This window comes from Homo sapiens, chromosome 13, assembly GCF_000001405.40.
Source record: "Homo sapiens chromosome 13, GRCh38.p14 Primary Assembly".
Taxonomy (NCBI): domain Eukaryota; kingdom Metazoa; phylum Chordata; class Mammalia; order Primates; family Hominidae; genus Homo; species Homo sapiens.
The window spans coordinates 45,249,606-45,273,327 of NC_000013.11; the positions used below are offsets into that span (position 1 = coordinate 45,249,606).

The 23,722-nt window shown below is 38.4% G+C and overlaps 1 protein-coding gene across 3 annotated transcripts in view; it reads left to right on the top strand.

The window, feature by feature from the left end:
- Positions 1-23,722, top strand: part of GTF2F2 (general transcription factor IIF subunit 2) — a 164,384-nt gene that overhangs the window by 129,096 nt on the left and 11,566 nt on the right. For all 3 annotated transcript variants that reach the window (XM_011535052.4, NM_004128.3, XM_017020551.2), the window contains 2 exons: positions 3,266-3,365; positions 17,628-17,771. In XM_011535052.4, the coding sequence (XP_011533354.1) occupies positions 3,266-3,365; positions 17,628-17,771 (244 nt within the window). The remainder of the gene's footprint in view (positions 1-3,265; positions 3,366-17,627; positions 17,772-23,722) is intronic.

Consider the following 23,722-nt stretch of genomic DNA (forward strand, 5'->3'; position numbering starts at 1 on the left):
CAAACTGAAACCCTGAGGAATTTTCAAATTGTGAAGTAATGGGAACAATCATTTAATATGGAAGGAAGGAGCTAGTGCATGCCTCCTTCCTTGGATGTCTCATAAGATCAAATCGTGGAGATGACTGAAACAGGGAAGATAATTTAGCGGCAACATAACAGATTACCATTTAGAGAGGCCAAACCCCTGAGAGCTGATTGCATTAGAGGAGGATGGGGGGCCAAGATTAGGACACAGGTGTGTTCAGAAACAGGCTGACACTTACTTGTGTTTCCCACCCACTCCCATCCCCCACCAAGTTAACACATTTAGCTGTCCCGACACTTTGTAAACATTCCTATATCTGTCTTCAATCTTTTTTCTCTCTCTAAAGGTTTATCTCTTAGAAGCTTTGACATAACTTTCCTTGGAGGAATCATTTCCACCTAATCTTTTTGCCTTATCTCTTTTTTTTTTTTTTTTTTTTTTTGAGACAGTCTCTCTCTGTCACCCAGGCTGGAGTGCAGTGACACGATGTTGGCTCACTGCATCCTCCACCTTCTGGGTTCAAGCGATTCTCGAGCCTCAGCCTCCTGACTAGCTGGGATTGCAGGTATGCACTACCATGCCCAGTTCATTTTTGTATTGTTAATAGAGACAGGGTTTCACCATGTTGCCCAGGCTGGTCTTGAACTCCTGACCTCAAGTAATCTGCCTGCCTCCACCTCCCAAATTACAGGTGTGAGCCACTACACCCAGCCTGCCTTATTTCTTATAAGCATGAGCAGCTCTGCTCCAGTTTACTCTCAAAATGCACACCTTGGGATTAATATTTTCTTTTTATCAGTATGCAGTCAGTTGTCCTACCATCCCTCCATCACCCTTGTTCATCTTCAGTACTGCAGTTAATTATAGTATTAAATGCTTGTCTTCCACTAGAGCAAGTCTTTACTGCTATGTCTCCAACCTCTAACCCAGTGCCTGGCAGAAGTGGGTACCCAGTAAACACTTGCTGGATAATTGACAGCAAGAGGCTCCTTCCAGAGTCTGGCTGTGGCACAGCTGCAGCCAGAGGCAGATACAGGAGAATGGTAAGGAGAACTGGAGAGATACGCAGGGACTAGATCCCAAAGAGTCTTAAAGTCCTATGAAGGAACTTGTGCTGCACCCCGAGAATAGTAAGAGGCCATCGAAGAATCATTAATCTAAATCCATCCTTGGGTTGCACATCTCCCTTCTAGACTCTAGCTAGTTGATTTCTCAGTCTTAGCAAGAAAATTTAATCCTTGTTCATAGAAACTCTGTGTGGCACATGAAAAGCAAAGTATAATTGTAAGTATTATTTATGGTTACATATCCAGTAAGTTTCTAAAGACACTTCCAGAGAACTTTTTGTACTTTATAAAGTAAATCATCTTGTGTATTTAAAGGATAAGCATGGATTTATATGTAACTGGAATAATTTAAATATTTACATTTCCATACAGAAATGAGTATACTGAATTTGGGGATCTTGGTAAAAACAAAACCTATGGCATTTTTAGATTTCAAATTGAAAAGGCAATTGGTAAATATCTTATATCTTCTCAGCAATTTGATAGTATATACCTGAAAATAAGCAGAAGTAAATAGAGAATTATCTTCATCCAAGGAATTAAATAATAGGAATGTTATACAGACACCTTTTATACTTAATTCTGCTTTTGAAGGAATTTAAAATGGAAATTGTTTTTAATTTCTATTTTATTGAACCAAAGAATTTAAAGTCCCATTCAAATAAAATAATACATAATGTTAAACTTGTATTATTTTTTAATAGCCAGCATTTTTGTGGTTTTCAAATGAACCATCCAAGGAATTATAGTATTTCTTCTCTTTTTAAGAAAGTGTACTTCTTCAGGTTATAAAAGTAGTAAATACTTATTGCAGAACATTTAGAAAACAAACTTAAAATGCATCCAGTCTGATCTCTTCCTTCCCATCTTTCATGTTAGTTTCACCATTTAAAAAAACTGCCTTTTTTTTTTAATTAAAGGCAATTTTCTAACATCGTTTTCAATTTTTTTGCTGTAACCATTGCATCTCACTGCTTCCTATTGGATTCATTTTCCTTCTTACTGAAATAAATTCTTGAGTAGTTTCTCAGTGAGGATCTATAAATAATAAACATAAGCTTTTGTCCAAAAATGCTTATGTTTTACACTTACTCTTCAATTGTAATCTAACTAGATATGTTAGGCAATTTTCTTAAAAAACTGCAATCTTATATTTTGATATCTTGCTGATGAGTTTAAAAGGTACAGTGATAACTTTTGCATCATTAAAAATAGTTGGCTTAGAAAGCTGTACTTTTCCTTCCTTAAAACAGTTTTTTAAATTTACTGTGCTGATATACCAAGTGAATTAATTTTCTAAATAAGTAAATGATTATAAGCCTTGCTATACTTAATATAAAACAAAATATCCTAAGATAGCTACTTAAATATACATGTACTAGTCAGCTATTGTTTTATAATATACTATACATGGTGGCATATATTTTCAAAAGCAGTGTTTTGAGTTATATTTTATTTTCTGAGACATGGTCTCTCTCTGTTGCCCAGGCTGGAGTGCAGTGGCACAGTCACAGCTCACTGTGGCCTCGACCTCCCAGGCTCAAGTGATCCTACCACCTCAGCCTCCTGAGTAACTAGGACTACAGGCACTGTGCCTGGCTAATTTTTTTTTTTCTTAATTTTTTGTAGAGACAGGATCAGTTTAGATGGTGTCCTGCAGTAGTTCTAGAGCAGTGCTGTCTAATAGAGGTTTCTGTGATGATAGAAATGTTCTCTCTCTGTGCTGTTCAGTAAACCTTGAGTGTTGATGTATTCTCTTTTTATTTACCTTTATCTTTTATCAGCTGAGTAGACATTTTGAATTAATAACTTGATTGATTTTAGACCATGTAATTTAAGATGATTTATTTTTACATGAAGATTTTTTCCCCCAGAAATTTAAGGCTGATTAGCTTCTTGGTTTTAGTGGTTAAGATTTGCCTATATAATAAGCGGGTGAAAAGTACATTGTGGCATTATAATGAGTTAGTTTGTATATTTAGCTTGTGTACTGGTTTCTGCATTATAGTCACGTATATTCAGTGCATTTTTAAAGTATTAAAGCTAGTGTATCCTCTGAGGTTACCTTTTTATATATTAGTTTTCATTGAATAAGAATTATAGAAATAATAACTCTTCATATTTCACTCTGCTAAACAAGAGTGTTAATAATGCCTTATATTTTTTTTCAGATTGCAAATAGAAGAGTCTTCCAAACCAGTGAGGCTATCACAACAGCTGGACAAAGTTGTAACAACCAATTACAAACCTGTTGCTAATCATCAATACAATGTAAGTCTTCTGCTTGTCTCTTTTCATTCTTTTATATCTTCATTCTTTTCTGTATCATAGAGTCTTAGGTTTCCAAAGAACCTGAGAATTTACACACCTTGCCATCAGGTGCTTGAATTACAGTACCTGATCTGGACTTAGTAAGGAATATGACAATTTGCTAAAAGTACAGAAAAGATGTTCACTCTACATTGCAAGTTATATCATGGCAAAAAGAAGGCAACCACTGTTTAAAGTACCCTTGATAAATTTTTACAAAGAAGTAAAACACTTCAATTCTCAATGTTGCAATGTTGCTGATGTTTTAAATTACAATGTACTAACTAAATATTAGTTTTACTATTTTTAAAAATTATTCTATACCTTTGTGATGAACCATAAGAAAGTTTTTAATGTGTTAAAAAATTTTAAAGGTCATGGAACAGCAGTAATTTTTCTCATTGATTATTAAGATCACTTTGCCTGATTTCAGCTTTCACAGGCATTTTAATGGTCTCATACTACCATGCAAAGTGAGGACCATCTGTACAGTAGTACTCCCTTGTCCACAATTTTAAAACTTTATGCAGTTTCAGTGACCCACAGTCAACTACAGTCAAAAATATTGAATGGAAAATTCCAGATGTAAACAATTCATAAGTTGTAAGTTGTGCAACCTTCTGAGTAGTATGATGAAACCTAGCACCATCTTGCTCCATCCCATCCATGATGTGAGTCATTCCTTTGTCCAGTATATCCACATTGTATATGCTACCCACCCATTAGTCACTTAGTAGCCCTCTTGGTTAACAGATCTATTGACACATGATAAAAAGAAAGAAGAGGCTGGGCGCGGTGGCTCACGCCTGTAATCCCAGCACTTTGGGAGGCCGAGGCAGGCGGTTCACAAGGTCAGGAGATCGAGACCATCCTGGCTAACACAGTGAACCCCGTCTCTACTAAAAATACAAAAATTAGTCGGGCATGGCGGTGTGTGCCTGTAGTCCCAGCTGCTGGGGAGGCTGAGGCAGGAGAATGGGAGGCGGAGCTTGCAGTGAGCCGAGATCACGCCACTGCACTGCAGCCTGAGTGACAGAGTGACAGAGCGAGACTCCGTCTCAAAAAAAAAAAAAAAAAGAAAGAAGAAGAGTGAGTACAGAACACCAAGATATTTTGAGAGAGTGAGAGAGAGAGAGACCACATTCACAGACTGTTATTACAGTATATTGTTAGGGTTATTCTATTTTATTATGGGTTATTTTTGTTAATCTCTTACTGTGCCTAATTTATAAATTGAACTTTATCAGAGATATGTATGTATAGGAAAAACCATAATATATAGAGTTTGGTACTATCCACAATTTCAGGCACCAAGTGGGGCAGGGAGGTGTCTTGCAACATATCTCCTGCCAATAAGGGGAAAGTATTGTATATTTATATTTCAAGACTTTTTTATTGTTGTGTATCTTATATGTACTATATGTATTATACAATATACACATTTATTGCATACATATTATGTATACTTTGTGCCAGGTATTGGTCTGAGTGCTTCGTAAGTAATGACACTTAATCTTCATACCAACCCTATGAAGAAACTACAACAGATAAGGTAACAGGCAGAGAGACTGGCTTACCTGAGGTGGTGCAGCCAGTAATTTATCAGTCCAGGTGTTGAACTTAGGCAGTCTAGCTTAGGAGCCATACTGTTAACCACTGTGTATGTTGCCGCTGGTGATTAGCAGTTGCTAAAAGGGCTAAGGGTTTTGGGTTTTGAAATATCTGTAATGTAATAAGTGTGATGGTTTCCTGAAAATAAAATACCTAAGTTAAGTCAAATAGCAATTAACAGTTGGAATTTTGTATCCCACTTTGTTGTTTAAGATTACCTTTGATACTGAGTTTAGGAAGAAAATTTTCTTTAAGACTAGCCTTGGCAGAGTGCGGTGGCTCACGCCTGTAATCCCAGCACTTTGGGAGGCCAAGGCAGGTGGATCACCTGAGGTCAGGAGTTCAAGACCAGCCTGGCCAACATGGTGAAACCCCATCTCTACTAAAAATACAAAAATTAGCCAGGAGTGGTGGCAGGCACCTGTAATTCCAGCCACTCGGGAGGTGAGGCAGGAGAATCGCCTGAACCCAGGAGGCAGAAGTTGCAGTGAGCCGAGATCACACCATTGCACTCCAGCCTGGGGGACAAGAGTGAGACTTTGTCTCAAAAAAAAAAAAAAAAAAAAAAAAGACTAGCCTTTAGTATCAACATTTATTAAGTGACACAGGATAGCATCTACCAAACTACTACTTTATGATATTTGAATGGTTATTTTATATGAAAGTAGCAAATGCCACTAGGGCTAAGTAGATATCTTAAATGAGTGGAACAATGAAATTTAAGAAAGTCAGTGTTAGAGACTGTGTGAACTGGAGTGCACATGACCCATATAAATACATTCACATTTTGAAATTGCTACACTATGTGAGTTAAACAAACCAGGTAAAAGTTCAACTGCATTCAGCCAAGCTTTCATTTTATAGCCTCTGGTTATGCTTTAGGAGGAAAATAAACTAAAGGACAGGTAAGGTTTCAGATGATCCAGAAGAGGTATTTTTCTGTTGTTTTCTGACTTAGATAAATAGATTAAAGTCCACATCTTTGTTCTCTTCCATTGTAGTCTTTTCTACTGTTGGATGGGAATACACACAGTTTTCTGAGAGCTACGTGTAAATAGAGATTCTATTCTACTTTGTAAAACAGTATAGATCTTAGTTGTTTTTGCCTTTCTTCCTCATTGGTGTGCTGCTTCTGTAGCTCCTGACTCACCTTTTTTATCCTTTTATGGGCCAGGCTTCTCTGTGATTTCTACCCTTGTGTATATTTTTATTACAGTGGGTACAAGAAAGACTGCACTTTCATAGGCTGTAAAGAGTTGTTACCTTTCTAGAGGGAAGTTTGGTAATTTATGTCAAATGCACTATAAAAGGATATATCCTTTGACCTAGCAGTTTTGTGTCTAGGAATTTATTATAGTGAGACCAGTGCTCAATGATATATATACAATAATGCTTCTCTCTATTATTTAAGATAGGAAAAGATTGGAAACAAGTGTCCCAAATTGGGGATTCATTAAATAAATATTTTAAGTCATTATTTTTGGATGGTAGGATCTACGTGATTTTATCCTAATTTTCTTTTTTATAAAATCTTCTCCAATTGTTGAAATTGTCACAGTGAGCACGTATTGCCTGAATTGTTGGTAAGCAATAAAGTTATGTTGGGAAGGGGAAGATTGGAAAGGAAAGAAAGCCAGGGAAGAAAGCCATAATAGTACCTTACTGATTGTCTAAGATTTACCTTCTTTAAACAAGTACTTTTTAAATATCTGCTTCGTGTCTGAGATACATACCCCTGGTGAATAAAGTAAGTACAAACATGTTATATTCTGAACTCCTTAGTATATAAAGCTATAGCACCCTCTATAAAGATAATTAACATTAAGTGACATTTTAGTTCAAGATATCAACCTTTGTTAAGGTTGTCATAGTGAAAATGAGTCATTATAGTAATGAATCTTTGATTAAGATTTTTACATCCAAACAAAGATTGACTATAATCTACCACATTGCATTTGAATGTTTAATCATTATTTCTTTTGGGAGTAAACCAGGATAGGCACCTGCATAGCTTTAAAAAACATATTCAGTATTGTAGTGTAATACCAACTATAGAAAGAGTATAACATTTTTGTTATTTATTAGAAGAGGACATTGACTTTTAAAAGACTGAGAAACATAAACGAACACAGGTCAGCAAGAATGATTTAGAGGAAGCATAATAAAGACTTTTAATAAAAAATTTTAACTCGATATAATGTTGAAATGTTTTGAAAGTCTTGCCAGATAAAGTTATATAAACATGAAGCTCAGTGTTTCATTCTAACAGTTGAGCTTCTTTGAATGCAATTTTCAGAATAAAAATTCAAAAAAAATTTGTACAAAAAAGTGAAAGAGGGACTGGGAAATTGCATATGTATTTGAAAAACAATGTTCCTACATTTGGTCAGAAAGAAACTACCTTGCATTTACCCACAGTTTTTTCACCCACCTATGGCAAATAGATGAATTTACCTGTATATATGTAAAGAAAATATCCAATTTTGTTCTTGGAGCTATTCTAAGAATTAAATTCAGATTTATCTTTTTAGTTCACAAACTATCTGGGTATAATGTCTGTCATACTTGCCATTCAGAAACCATCTACTGGGCCAAAAAGAATTATATGATTATTTTTATCTCTTAGAATACTCCATTGAAATCGCACCCCTGAAAACCATCTTCTTACTAGGATATGACATGTCAGGTTTTTTTTCCCTAAGTGGCATTTCCTGTACCTTAAATCTTCATTGAGTGTCTGAAACTTGAATCAGTTCATGTAGGTCAGCATTTTCCACAGTAAATTTTTTGTAACATTAACTAGGTGAGATGGTCACATAAAAAGGATTCTGTGTTTAAAAAACTTGTAGTTTCTGATTATATCCTCCTCTTAAATTGACACTTCACTTTAATATACTCAAGATTAGTAAGCTTTAGGAATTTGTTTAATCCTGCACTTACAAACATTTGAACATCAAATTTCCCCCCATTGTTTGAAGTAGTGAAAACAGACATTGGGAAATAATGGAGATGTCAAAGTATGGTTTACAAGAGGGCCCACTGGGTGAGGGGGAAAATTATTATATTTATATTATTATAAAACTTACATGTATCTTGTTTGGCACCTAGTAAAGGAAAGAAACTGAGCTTTAGAAATACTATGTAGATTGACCCTGGCATCTTTTTGCAGCTCCTGTGCTAGTCGGTCGTTTTTCAGCAGAAGAGCGGAAATGGGACAGGACAGAGGGGTTGAGCGTTGTGCCTTCATGTTTTCATTTGCTTTCAGCTTTTTAGCATTGGTGCTCAATTCAGAGATTTACAGATTATAGTATCTATTTTTAACTAAACTCAGTCTCAACAAATGATTTCTGCAGAGAAACTGTCAATTAGAGATAATACTAATAAACCAAGCATATGTGAACAAGAAAGTGAAAAACTGAACTTCTCTTGCTTCTAAAAATGGTTTATCAGTCAATCTTTGAGGTGACAAACAGTGATGATGTAATCAGATCTGAAAAGAACTTGGCCCTTCCAAAAAGGAAATTATCAGTATCATTTTAAATATGGCTTGTCATGCCCTGTCTTTAATGATGACTCAGTTAGTGTCTATGGTGGAATCAAAAACAACTCTAGATATTCCAAGCAGAAAAGAATGTAATGTAGGGAGTTAGTTACAAATGATTTAGGAATACCAAATGGATGGGCTGGAGTTGCAAAAGGAAGAAGAGATCAGGAAGCTGCTGCAGAGGTGCTCCTGCAATACAAAAAAAAAAAAAGAAGAAAAATCTCCCTCCCTCCCACTTTCATTCTCCTATTGGCAGAACCCCAGCTGGAAACCCGCTAGCAAGGGAATCTTGGAAATGTAGCCTGCAGACCTCTTGCCACCCCACCCTTACCACCAAGGCTAGAGTTGAAGACTTGTTGCAAAATAACTGGCAAAGTGGCCCTTGACCTTTGTGAGTGTTGTACCTTGTTATATTAGCTTAGCTATTGCTGATACAAAGCTATCACGGTGTTCAATGTATTTAAAAACTAAGCATACAGAACATGAATGCAAATCACTGTATTTTGAGAGCAAAACGAAAACGTATTTTGTAGTTTTGACAAAACTTACTCTTAAAATTATACTCTTTCATCCCTTTAAAATTTTTTATCTTGTGTATGCTTATATCTATTTATAAATACAGTAGTACGTTTGTCCAGTTTATAAAGATATATGCATAGCTCATGCTTTTAATTTTTTGCTCACAAAGGTGTATAATCAAAGTTATAGAGTCAGCTGATGCGTAAGGTTCTTTGCAACTCCCTCCAACTTTGAATCCAAGTAAGGGCGACTCTGTGTGTTCTGGTTGACTTTGTGAACATCGTATCTAGCCTATGTAAATTTCATAGCATTCTTTTATGTATTTCATGGCCTCTTATAAACTTTCTCATAAGGAATTCCTTTTCTTCTCATAAGGAATCATGTCCTCTGTTGTCTAGACATTTGTTTTCGGTGTTGCTGTATACTAGAATCACCTGGGAAGCTTTTAAAGAAGAAAAATAGGCCGGGTGCGGTGGCTCACACCTGTAATCCCAGCACTTTGGGAGGCCAAGGCAGGTGGATTACCTGAGGTCAGAAGTTCGAGACCAGCCTGACCAACCTGGTAAAACCCCGTCTCTACTAAAAGTACAAAATTAGCTGGGTATTGTGGCACATGCCTGTAATCCCAGCTACTTGGGAGGCTGAGGCAGGAGAATTGCTTGAACCCGGGAGGCGGAGGTTGCAGTGAGCCAAGGTCATGCCACTGCACTCCAGTCTGGGCAACAAGAGCGAAACTCCATCTCAAAAAAAACAAAACAAAACAGAAAAATACCCTCAGAAACTGATTTGGTTAATCTAATGGGGAGGCCAGCCATCTTAAGTTTTTAAGCTTCTTGGGTAATTCTAGTATGCAGCCACTGAACCAAAGAGATGAGAACTTTTTATAGTTCTGCCATCTCCTGTTGAGGGTGGGGTGTTCAGTAATGGTACTTAGAAGGAAACCTCTTTCTCGCAAACCTAGAACTTTTTTTTTTTTTTTTTTTTTTTTTTGTGAGACAGAGTCTCGCCCTGTTGCCCAGGCTGGAGTGCAGTGGCACAATCTCGGCTCACTGCAAGCTCCGCCTCCCGGATTCATGCCATTCTCCTGCCTCAGCCTCCCAAGTAGCTGGGACTACAGGCGCCCGCCACCACACCTGGCCAATGTGATCCACCCATCTCGGCCTCCCAAAGTGTTGGGATTATAGGCGTGAGCCACTGCGCCTGGCCAAACCTAGAACTTTTAAAAAGAATTAATATTTCTTTTCTTTGTTAGAATTTCTGCCCCACAGTTTGAAAAAATAAGTTTTCTCTCTCTCATTTTTTTTTTTCTTATTTCTGGTAAAAGCTCTTGGCCAGAAAGAACTCGAAAACCTTAACTGTGCTCAGATGGGTAAGAGAAAAAAAAGAAAAGCTTACTTAGTAAACTGGTTGTTGAGGTAAACCCCCAGGAACTAGAAAGGAAATTCATTTTTATGCATATATGCTCTGTTCCCTTCAGTGTGGCAGCCGACTGTGTTAGTCTGCAGAACTAAGATTTGGGGTTTGAGTGGTTGATCTTTTAAAGTTCTATGCATAAATTTGAATTTTCCTAAATAAAAAGGATGTTTGTAGGACTATATCATGAGGGCTTTTCAGTAATATTTGCCTGTTATAATACATAGTATAAGTATACTACATGCTTTGTCCATTTGAATTTGCACACAAAGGACTGACCAATTCTAAAGAAATAATTTCCTCCCAAGAGATAATGACACACTAGGCAGAAATAGAAGCATTAGTTGAGGGGAGGGGGAATAATATCTCATAAGGATTTAACATGCAGAACCATGATATTCAAAGCTGTCATGCTCACTTCAAAAGTTAAAAGGCTTTACAAAGACTGCCTTGACAAAACACAGTATTTCTGCAAACAATAATCTAGAAGTTTATAGATGTCTGTATTATAAATTTTAATTGGTAGTGGGTGGCATTTATAATTTTAGTCAGTGATTACAGCTTCAGTAATGATGGTTGAACATATATATACCAAATCCACAAAGGATTGTCAACATTTGGTTGCATTTTAGTCAAGAATAGGCTGGGCGTGGTGGTTCACACCTGTAATCCCAGCACTTTCGGAGGCTGAGGCGGGTGGATCACTTGAGTTTGAGACCAGCCTTGAGTTTGAGACCAGCCTGGGCAGTATAGCCAGACCTACCTCTTCAAAAAAATTTTAAAAATTGGCTGGGTATGGTGGCATGCCCCTGTAGTTCCTGGAGTTCGAGACCAGCCTGGCCAACGTGGTGAAACCCTGTCTCTAATAAAAATACAAAAATTAGCCAGGCATGGTTGCACACGCCTGTAATCTCAGCTATTCAAGAGGCTGAGGCAGGAGAATCACTTGAACACGGGAGACGGAGGCTGCAGTGAGGTGAGATTGCGCCACTGCACTCCAGCCTAAGCAACAGAGTGAGACCCCATCTCAAAAAAGAAAAGGTTTGGGGGCCGGGTGCAGTGGCTCAAGCCAGTAATCCCAGCACTTTGGGAAGCCGCAGTGGGCGGATCATGAGATCAGGAGATCAAGACCATCCTGGCTAACACGGTGAAACCCTTTCTTTACTGAAAATACAAAAAATTAGCTGGGTGTGGTGGCACGCGCCTGTAGTCCCAGCTACTCGGGAGGCTGAGGCAGGAGAATCACTTGAACCCGGGAGGCTGAGGTTGCAGTGAGCTGAGATAGCATCACTGTACTCCAGCCTGGGGGACAGAGCAAGACTCCATCTCAAAAAAAAAAAAAAAAAAAGAATAATTTGTGTTCTGTTGTGAAAATTAATTGTATATGATGGATTTTTTGGTAAAAATTTGTAACTGAAGACTAAAGTACTTTCTGAATTGACATTTATTTCTATATAGTCAGTTGCGCAGTGATCTGTGATCATTGGATAGAAGATTGGTAATTAAAATTCACACAATATAAAAGCTGTTTCTACTCCAGTCTTACTAAGAGTTGTAGTGGCTGCCAACAAGTTAGATATCTGACTGCTTTAATATCATTTCCTTACAGTGCCTGAGCTCCACTGAGAAACAAAATGCCCAAAAGGCAAGGAGCTAAAAAGAGAAGAAATAACATTATCTCAAAACTGTAATCTTCTCCTAAATAGAATAGTTCATATCATTGGTAGTTTATTTGTACAGTTAATTTTATTTGTAGTGTCAAGTTGTGAATATAGTATTAAGATTACCATTTCTGCACTGTTTAGTTTTAAAAAATTACCTCAGTGACCTTGGTTTTGTCCTAACTATAAGTTATTAATAACTTAATGGCCATGGAAATTATTTAAATCCCCTTCGATAATTACACATACACTGGAACTACTTATCTGATACCACAGAGCAGAATTTGGATTATGAGCCTGTCTTAGACATTATCAAAAAAAAAAATTTAACTGGCTGGGTGCAGTGGCTCATGCCTGTAATTCCAGCACTTTAGGATGTCAAGGTTAGAAGATCACTTGAAGCCAGGAGTTTGAGACCAACCTCGGCAGTATAGCCAGACCCTATCTCTTCAAAAAAATTTTAAAAATTGACTGGGTATGGTGTCATGCCCCTGTAGTTCCAGCTACTTGGGAGGCTGAGGCAGGAGAATAATTTGATCCCAGGAGGTTGAGACTGCGATGAGCTATGATCACACCACTGCACTCTAGTCTGGGCGACAGAGTGAGATCCCATCTCTAAAATTAGTTAACTAATTAAAACAATAATATTTTTGTAGTACAGTATTAGTTAAATCTTTAATTTATTTTTGAGACGGTGTCTCACTCCGTTGCCCAGGTTGGAGTGCATTGGTGCATTCTCAGCTCACTGCAGCCCCTGCCTCCTGGGCTCAAGTGATCCTCCCACCTCAGCCTCCCAAGGAGCTTGGACTACAGGTGAGTGCCACCACACCCAGCTAATTTTTGTAGAGGCTGGGTTTTGCCATGTTCCCCAGGCTGGTCTCGAACTCCTAAGCTCAAGCGATCCGCCCACCCCAGCCTCCCAAAGTGCTGAGATAACAGGTGTGAGCCACTGCGCCCGGCCTAATCTTTATTTTGTTATTTATTTATTTATTTATTGTCTTAGAGACAGAATCTCACTCTGTTGCCTAGGCTGGAGTGCATGAGTGGCATGATCATAGCTCACTGCAGCCTCAACTTCTTGGGCTCAAGTAATCCTCCTGCCTTAGCCTCCTGAGTGGCTGGGACTACAGGCTCGTTCATGGCTAATTTTGTAGAGATGGGTCTCACTTTATTGCCCAGACTGGTCTCAAACTCTTGGTCTCAAGTGATCCTCCCCCCTTGGCCTCCCAGAGCACTAGGATTACAGGTGTGAGCCACCATGTGTGGCCATAAATTTTGTTTTAAAACAATCTTCTATAAATTATCCCGTAGTTAAACAGTCCCTGAGGACATTAAAGAGATGTTCTGTTTTTATTTTTAAATAAATTTAAATAAATGTAGGATTAAATTTAAAGTACTTAAATTTCTCTAGTGAGGAATGTTTCTGTTTTGTTCTTGCTATCGTTATTTTGTATGTCTGGGTTTTCAGACTAAATTTTTTTTTTTTTTGAGACGGAGTCTCACTCTGTCACCCAGGCTAGAGTGCAGTGGCGCGATCTCGGCTCACTGCAAGCTCCGCCTCCCAAGGTTCACACCATTCTCCTGCCTCAGCCTCCCGAGTAGCTGAGACTTCAGGCGCCCGCCACCATGCCCGGCTAATTTTTTGTATTTTTAGTAGAGACAGGGTTTCACCATGTTAGCCAGGATGGTCTTGATCTCCTGACCTCGTGATCTGCCCACCTCGGCCTCCCAAAGTGCTGGGATTACAGGCGTGAGCCACCGCACCTGGCTTACAGACAACATTTTTAAGAGTTTTTGTTTACTACAGATTATGTAGTCAGGATACCTTGAAACTATGCTTCCAGGTGGCTATCCTCAAGCTTTGGGCTCGAATAAACTATATAGTTAATTTTATTTTCTGAATCTCATTACTTAAGATTGACATATGCCTGTCAAGGACAATAACTACCATGGTTTCCAGTGCTTTGATGAAACCAAACGCCATGCATCTGAGGTTTTATGTTGTTGGAGCATTCATTGCATCCCTGGGGGTTGCAGCTCTCTGTAAGTTTGCTGTGCTGAAGCAAGAAATAAGGCATATGCAGATTTCTTCAGAAATTAGGATTCCATGAAAGATATTGAGGAGATGAGGAAGGCTGGTATCTTTCAGAGTGCAAAGTGGTTTGGGAATATAAAGAATTTGCTTGGATTGAATCACATGGAAGTTTGTCACTGACTTGTGTTCGTGAACTATGAAACACGAATATCTAGGCTGAGAAAGAGTTCGTCTTGATAAGTAAACAATTAACAAATATTTCGGACAGGAAGAAAAAAAACAGTTTTTGTTCACTAGGCAAATGTAGAGGTAGGCTGCAGTGCCCCCAGGAACTAAACCAGTGATATACATGTTAACACAGAAAGATAAGCATATATTTTTAGTCTGTTTTTCTAATTTTAAAGAGAAAGCACCAACATTAACTTCAATTTGAGATTGAAGCATGTAAACCAAGATTTTTTTTTTATTTTTTATTTTTTATTTTTATTTTTTTATTTTTTTATTTTTTTGAGACAGAGTCACTCTGTTGCTGAGAGTGGAGTGTAGTGGCACGATCTTGGCTCACTGCAACCTCTGTCTCCTGGCTTCAAGCGATTCTGCTGCCTCAGCCTCCCTAGTAGCTGGAGATACAGGCGTGTGCCACCACGCCCAGCTAATTTTTTTGTATTTTTAGCAGAGACTTGGCCGTGCTGGTCTTGAACTCCTGACCTCAAATGATCCGCCCACTTTGTCCTCCCAAAGTTGCTGGGATTACAGGCGTGAGCCACTGCGCCTGGCCCCATGATTTTTGAAAAATCTGGGTAGAATTCGGTAATTTTCTTACTACTCATTAATGTTACTAATTACAACTTAATCCGACCCTTACTCTTATCCCTAGTGTTGATTTTAAAGTTCTTTTCTAATTTATTAATTTTTACCTTTGATTCAGGTCCTCTTGCATCTGACATGTGACTCTGGGTTGGGACAACTTGATAACAACACTTAAGTTTTCTCTCCACAGCCAACTAGAATGTGCGCCCTCTGTAAAGTAGGTTATCTTACTTTACCAGTGGGCTTATTTGAAAACATTTTTCATGTTAAACTTCCTAGCTTCTCCAATCATTTTACACAAGAAACAGCCTACTGAAGGTGGAAACTGAGTATACCATCACTTCTCTGCTATTTCCTGAATTTAACTTGAGACTGAGGCCAGGCGTGGTGGCTCACGCCTGTAATCCTAGCACTTTGGGAGGCCGAGGCGGGCGGATCACGAGGTTAGGAGTTCGAGACCAGCCTGGCCAACATAGTGAAACCCTGTCTCTACTAAAAATACAAAAATTAGCTGGGCATGGTGGTGCGCACCTGTAATCCCAGCTACTCGGGAGGCTGAGGCAGGAAAATCACTTGAACCCAGGAGGTGGAGGTTGTGGTGAGCCGAGATTGCACCACTGCACTCCAGCCTGGGCAATAGAGTGAGACACCATTTCAAAAAAAAAAAAAAATTGAGACTGGCTGGATTTCAGTCTTCCCTAACAATACAATCTGTGTCATTCATTTGCATTTTTTTTAAGCATGGTGATCTTGTCCTAGGTAGCTCTTTGTCCATTACTGCATTTAAAATGCTCAAGGCCCTCCCCTCTCTAATCATTTTAATCCATTTAAAGCCGTTTTAGAAAGAAAAAGCTGTCTTACTCTCCCCATATCTTAGCGCAATGCCTAGCATATAGTCATGCTTAATCTGCTGAAGCTCAGTGGAGTTTGAGTTTTACTCCCAGTTCGTACATATCAAAAAATGAAGATGATTGAGTCCTTTCCCTTTGTCTCACTCCCAACTTTATTTAATTGAAAAGTAGATACTCAAGGTTTTCAGTTACCTTTTACCACTAATTTGACAGTCTCTCATAAGACATATTTTTAGTTTTAATATCAATAAATCAATAGAAACTAAATTTTATCCTTTTATAACAAATCTTTATTGTTAAAATAGAGTAAGCTAACTACCTGAGGCTATTTGTGGAATAATTTATTTGTAAGTTTTTAAATGTATCCCATTGTTTTCGAAGCTAGTCCCCAGATTATAATTATTCCAGCTGACCCACAGGACATTCTTCTCTGGCAGTTTCCACCCAACCTACTGATGCTTTCTTCACCAGGTTGGCCCCTTCAACAAGTTTCTGATGGTTTATACAAGTGAAGTGTTCCTAAAAAGAAACAAACAAATATCTCAATTAACTAAGTAATAGAACAGAACTTGCATATTTTAAGTAAAAAGGGTGATGTTTTACAATTGAACAGTCCCAGGATGGTAACAGTAGGAGGGAACTTCTTCATTGTGTTAGTGCCACTGCTTTTTAAGCTGGCATGCATGGAGGTACACAAAACTGCAGAATAAACATAACACATGGTCCTGAAGTGTCATTTTTATTTGGATAGTAGATACTGTATTTTTTACTTCATGTTAAAAAATAAAGATGTATTATACAGGTGAATTTAGAGGTCACATGAAGTTTTAAATGGGAATTTCAGAAAAATGGTTTGCTTGTGTCTGAGATGATAAGTATATAATTACCCCTTTCTCTTGTTAAACTAACTTTTATTGTATGGGAAGAGAAACAGGTTCAAGGAGGTTGCACAGGGTCAGGATGAGAAAAGGTCCATGTCCTTTCCTTTTTACCAATGCTTCCCAAACTTTTCACTCCGTAAAGAACCCGTTTTATAATCTGCCTGCCTCCAAGAACCCCACATTTGAAAGATGTTACCTATGAAACTGCATCTGTTAGATAAACTGTTTTACTGTTAATCAAAAACAAAAGCACTACACGTTAGAGTTTTCGATCAACACAAGATAACCAGTTAACCGCACTGAATTGATACAGTTTTGGCAAAAGGCCTTTTTGGGGGGAAATGTACACATTATGCATTACATAAAGCTTTAGGGGATAATGAAAGTGACTGGAATTATTACTAACTTAGAGCCTTAAAGATACGGGGACCCCAGGAGTAACAGGTCCCAGGTTCTGAACTACTGTTCAGAGGCCTGCTGCCTCGAAACTTACGATCTAGTCGTTAATGGATGACTCAAAAGAGAATGCCTGGGCAAGCACGGTGGCTCACACCTGTTATCCCGACACTTTGGGAGGCTGAGGCAGGTGGATCACCTGAGGTCAGGAGTTCCAGGCCAGCCTGGCCAACATGGTGAAACCCCGTCTCTACCAAAAATACAAAAAATTAGCCAGGCGTAGTGGCGGGCACCTGTAATCCCAGCTACTCGGGAGGCTGAGGCAGGAGAATCACTTGAACCCAGGAGGTGGGGGTTGCAGTGAGCTGAGATCATGCCACTGCACTCCAGCCTGGGCAACAAGAGCAAAACTCTGTCTCAAAAAAAAAAAAAAGAGAATGCCTGTGTTTTAGAGTGAGCATGTTGAATTGATGCTTTTATTTCCTTTGCTGTTTGCATATAGATCGAATATGAAAGGAAAAAGAAAGAAGACGGAAAGCGAGCTCGAGCTGATAAACAACATGTTTTAGACATGCTATTTTCAGCCTTTGAGAAACATCAATACTATAATCTTAAGGACTTGGTGGACATCACAAAGCAACCTGTGGTATGTATATGTTCATACTGATCCTTTGAATATGCCCTCCTTCATTAACACGACATTACTGAAAGTGTGTCATACATGATTTAGTTCACATTTACCTATGCTAATGACTAATTTTATGACAACACTCAGAAAAGATGTCTTAATGCAGCCATTTTTGGTAACATCAGCTTTTATTTTACATTTTAGTACTCTTAATAATTATTTATGAAGAAAAGAAATTATCCTCATGTTCATTTATTCTTGACATTAAGCCTGAAATCTGTTGATACCATTTCTGGTCTTTATTTTGTTTCCCTATCTTCCTCTGAGAAAGTTTAACTCCTTCCCTTTTTTTGGAAAACATGCCTCATAGAAAAATCGCATTCTTTAAAGAATTATACTGTTTTGTCATTGTGGGAGGGTTTATCCCTGTCTTGTGAATTGTTTTCTGTGGATTTTTTTTTTTTTTTTTTTTAATTAGAATCTGTGTAGGTCCTTTTAAACCTGAACTGAACTGCACTTTCAAATTATGCTTGCAGAGATTGTGATTAGGTTGGCCTGTTCCCCATTTTTAAGGACAAATTTAACAAATTCGTATTTTAGAAAGTTTATGTTTGTTTTATAGTCATTTTTATCTCTTCTCTAGGCTTTTGTGCATTTACTAGTAATTTGCATTAATAATCCATTTAAAATGATGATAACAATAAGAAATTCAAATTCTTTTTCTAGTCTTTGAGTCACATTGTTTTCCATTTAACTTTCTCCACCACATGTCACCAAAGTATCAGACTGAGTATTTACTTATAGGTTTAAGAAAATTGAATGGAAACCCTTTTATCTCATTTCCTTTACCATTTTGTCTACTCTGCCGGTATACTCAAGAATCTGTTGATTCTTGCTGCTCCATTTATTGGATTCAGAATATGTAACAATAACCAATTTTAAAAAACATCTTAACATAACCAAATAACCTATTTGTGAAAGGACTTGATTTTTTTTATTTATACAAAGCTTTAGGAAATGATTTATGAAATTTTAATGTTCATTATACAGTTTCTCCTGCAGATATTTCTTTACTATTATACATCAACCCTTGCCTTTTGTTAAGAAATTAATTTGAATTCCAAAAGATTTACTTTTTAATAAGAAGAAAGTGCTCATGGTGGAGTATTATCAATTCATCCCAATGACTTCACTCCCTTTGGCATCAAAGCCTTAGAAACAGCATTCTAAGCTAGATTAAAAATTTTTTTTGAAATAGAATAAATAACTCATTAGCTAAGCTGTGTTTCTTCTGGTTTTAATGAAATTTATCTTTGTATTTATATATATAAATATATCTGTATGAAAAGACCCTTCCAGAAACTCTGAAAACAGACGAGATTCTCATGGAATTAAACACAAAAAATTAGATATGGAAAATAATCACTTGTAGAGGGGCATTCAGATGATACTAGGGAAAGCAGTTTCTTTGCCTTCACATGGGATATAAGGTTTATTCATTTTGCATCAAAGAACAAGTATTACTAGTGTGTCTTTTGGTTTTGGTTCTTAAGATATTTTTTATATGGTAGTACTCAGTGAATCTCTTACAACAGAGCTTCTTAATTCCTAACCAGTGGATGGACTTAAGGGGATCCATTAACTTCCTGAAAATCTGCAAAAATGTATGAATTGTTCTGGGGAACATATCATCCATAGTTTGTATCAGATTCTCATAGAAGCCGCTGATCTCAAAACTAACTTTTTAAATAATAGTTTTATTATTTAGAGACTAAATTGCCTCAATAAGCATAAGATTCCTGAAGGCAGAGTTGTATGCTATTCCTATCCCTAAATATTCATATACCCCATAGTGTAAAAGATGGTAAAAATTCAGCAAATATCTCATGAATTGATTTGAAAAAAGAAAATCCTCAGTCTCCAAGGGCCACCATATTTTCTTCAGATGGATTTTGGCAGGCCTCTCACGTCATTTATAGTGAGGTTGGGGCAAAGAGCCAGTGCCAAGAAAGTGTGGAATGCCTTCCCCAGGCTGGGGGTAGGCCAGAGGTAGTTACCTCCTCCTAGAGGAGAGGGCAGGAAGTGGTCAGCATGGATTCCAGTCCATTGACTGGGAAAGAAAGTTGCCAAAGTCTAGCTCTCCCCCAAGTAGGCAACTATCCCCCTTTAAAAGGATTCGAGGACATAAGTGAATCTGTACTAATGGTCATCAGTACCCAAGAGACTTGAGGAATCTATTCTAGCATGAAGATCAATGGTCCAGGAAAGGGGGTGTTCTGGTATAATGGAAAGAACCTGGATTTGGAGTATGAGATCCTAGTTCAAGTCCCAGCTCTACCATTTAGCCAAATAGTCCTGGACAAGGTACTTAAATACATTTAATACATTACTTATATTTAGTTCACTTAACATATGTAATAATATAAAATTTACCAATATGTTCAAATTATAATTTATTTTGGGGGTGGGGTGTTTTGTTTGTTTGTTTTTGAGATGGAGTTTTGCTCTTGTTGCCCAGGCTGGAGTGCAATGGCACAATCTCTGCTCACTGCAACCTCCACCTCCCGAGTTCAAGCGATTCTCCTGCCTCAGCCTCCTGAGTAGCTGGGATTATAGGCGCCCACCACCACACCTGGCTAATTTTTGGATTTTTAGTAGAGATGAGGTTTCACCATGTTGACAAGGCTGGTCTTGAACTCCTGACCTCAGGTGATCTACATGCCTCAGCCTCCCGAAGTGCTGAGATTACACGTGAGCTACCGTTCCTGGCCAAAACCTTCATTTCTATAAGTAAAATTATTGGCTAGAGAAACTTTGCTTAGGGCCCGTCTTTTTCTCTTGTTTGCCAGTATGTGACTTACATAAGCAACTAGAAAGAGTGAAAGTTACTCATCAAGGAGGCCAAGCTTTGGTAACTGATATAAAGTCGGGGACATAGTATCCATTTAAAGATATATTATCTTAGTCTGTTTTTTGTTACTTATAACAGAATACCTGAAGCTGGGCAATTTTTAAAGCAAAATAATTTGTTTCTTAAAATTTTGGAGGCTGAGAAGTCCAGGATCAAAGGGCCACGTCTGGTAAGAGGCTTTTTACATCGCTTAGTGAGGAGGCTGAGCGTGCTAGCTCAGGTCTCTCTTCCTCTCCCTCTTTTTATAAAGCCACCAATTTCACTCCCATGATAACCCATTAATCTATGAATGGGCAGAACCCCCATGACCTAGTCACCTCTCAAAGGCCCAATTCTTACTACTGCCACATTGAGAATTAAGTTTAACATGAGTGTTAGAAGGGACAGATATACAAACCACAGCAGGTATTTTTATATGGTTTAACTTCTGGATTTTTCCCCCCTCAAAAATAGAAAATTACAGGAGGCCTATTATTTCTCCCTGATACTCTGATTTTTAACCTTGAATGAGTTATTTCTAGCTTTTTTCATATTTTATCTGTCAAATAGAAGCATATATAGTGTTTCCTTTGAAGATATAAACCATTAAAAACTTTATCTAATTGCTCCCTTTGAAACACCAAACTGCCAATACCACTCTGAACTTCAACACTCTGTTTTCTATCTAACAGCGTTCATTTACCAGTGTTCCTGTACAGCATACTTGTATTAAAAAGTGTCATTGAAAACTAGTCCCTGATTGGCCGGGCGCGGTGGCTCATGCCTGTAATCCCAGCACTTTGGGAGGCTGAGGCGGGCAGATCACGAGGTCAGGAGATCGAGACTATCCTGGCTAACACGGTGAAACCCCATCTCTACTAAAAATATAAAAAATTAGCCAGGCGTGGTGGCCAGCCCCTGTAGTCCCAGCTACTCAGGAGCTGAGGCAGGAGAATGGTGTGAACCCGGGAGGCGGAGGTTGCAGTGAGCGGAGATTGCGCCACTGCACTCCAGCCTGAGCGACAGAAAAAAGAAAAAAAAAAAGAAAACTAGCGCTGATTATAACTGGACCTCTTAATTTCCTTTTGCACCACCTACCCAATTTCAAGTCAGGATTCAGAGAAGTTTATTTTTATTTTATTTTATTTTATTTTTGAGACAGTCTTGCTCTGTCACCCAGGCTAGAGTGCAGTGGTGCAATCTCGGATCACTGCAACCTCCACCTCCTAGTTCAAGCGATTCTTCTGCCTCATCCTTCTGAGTAGCTGGGATTACAGGCGCCCACCACCACACCCAGCTAATTTTTTTTTTCTTTCTTTCTTGAGACAGAGTCTTGCTCTGTCCTCAGACTTGAGTGCAGTGACACGATCTCAGCTCACTACAACCTCCACCTCCCGGGTTCAAGAAATTCTCCTGCCTCAGCCCCCCGAGTAGCTAGGACTACAGGCAGGCACCACCATGCCTGGCTAATATTTGTATTTTTAGTAGAGATGGGGTTTTGCCATGTTGGCCAGGCTGGTCTCAAACTCCTGACCTCAGGTGATCTGCCCGTCAGACAGGCTGCTTTCTGATTTCTATATTATTAAGAATCATCATCATTAATCCTAAGCCAGGTATGTAGAGAGTAGAATTTAAGCTTTATCTTAGTTCAGTTTCTACTCCAAAAGGAAAAATAGGTATTTTTAATGTTTGAAGCTTATTCCCAAATTTACTACTACTTAATAACTGCTGTTTTTATTATAATGCTTTCCACTGACATATATTCACTTGGTTCCTTTTTTCATCTTTTCATTTTTCCTATAACTGGAAATTTTTATTTTTAAATTTTTATATTTTTATATTTTAAATATAAATTTTTTATATTTTAAAAAAAAGACAATTTCCCAACAGAGCATATTGACAGCCCTCTTTAAGACTTCTCTTTTAAGAAATAATTATTTGCTAACTTATGAAATAGAGCCTTAATTAAAAGTTTTAGAATATGAAATGTGATGTAAAATAAACTATTAACTATGTTGACTATAAGTGGGTGAAATTTAAACACATTTATAAAATTTTAATACTTTCTTTTTGAATAGTGATTCTAATAGAAGGACCAATGATCTACTACCAACTTTATTATGGAACAGTAACATTTTCCCTTTTAACTTTTTATATGGTTTTGTTTTGGCTCTTTAAAAAAAAAAAAAAAACAAAAAAAAAAAACAGGGTCTGAACAGGTGAGTGGTTCACGTGAGTAATCCCAGCACTTTGAGAGGCCAAGGTGAGAGGATTGCTTGAGCTCAGGAGTTCAAGACCAGCCTGGACAACATGGTGAAACCCCAACTCTACAAAAAAATACAAAAATTAGCTGGGAGTGGTGGTGCACACCTGTAGTCCCAGCTACTCTGGAGGCTGAGGTTGGGAGAATTGCTTGAACCCAGGAGGTGGAGGTTGCAGTAAGCCAAGATTGTGTCACTCTACTCCAGCCTGGGTGACAGAGCGAGACCGTGTCTCAAATAAATAATAAAGAGACAAGGTCTCCTGCTGCCACCCAGGCTGGAGTGCTCAAAGCTCCATAGCTCATAGCATGATCATAGCTCGCTGTCACTTCAATCTTTGGACCCAAGCAGTTCTCCCACCTCAGCCTCTTGAGTAGTTAGGACTACAGGCATGCCCCACCACACCTGGCTAATTTTTTTTTTTTTTTTTTTTTTGAGACGGAGTCTCACTCTGTTGCCCAGGCTGGAGTGCAGTGGCGCAATCTCGGCTCACTGCAACCTCCGCCTCCCGAGTTCAAGCAGTTCTCTGCCTCAGCCTCCCGAGTAGCTGGAATTACGGGCGCCCGCCACCACGCCTGGCTAATTTTCGTATTTTTTTAGTAGAGACGGGGTTTCACCATCTTGGCCAGGCTGGTCCTGAACTCCTGACCTCATGATCCACCCGCCTCTGCCTCCCAAAGTGCTGGGATTACAGGTGTGAGCCACCGTGCCCAGCCCACACCTGGCTAATTTTTTAAAATTTTTTTTGTGGAGACAGGATCTTACTATGTTGCTTGCTGTGGTCTTGAACTCCTGGCCTCAAGCAGTCCTCCTGCCTC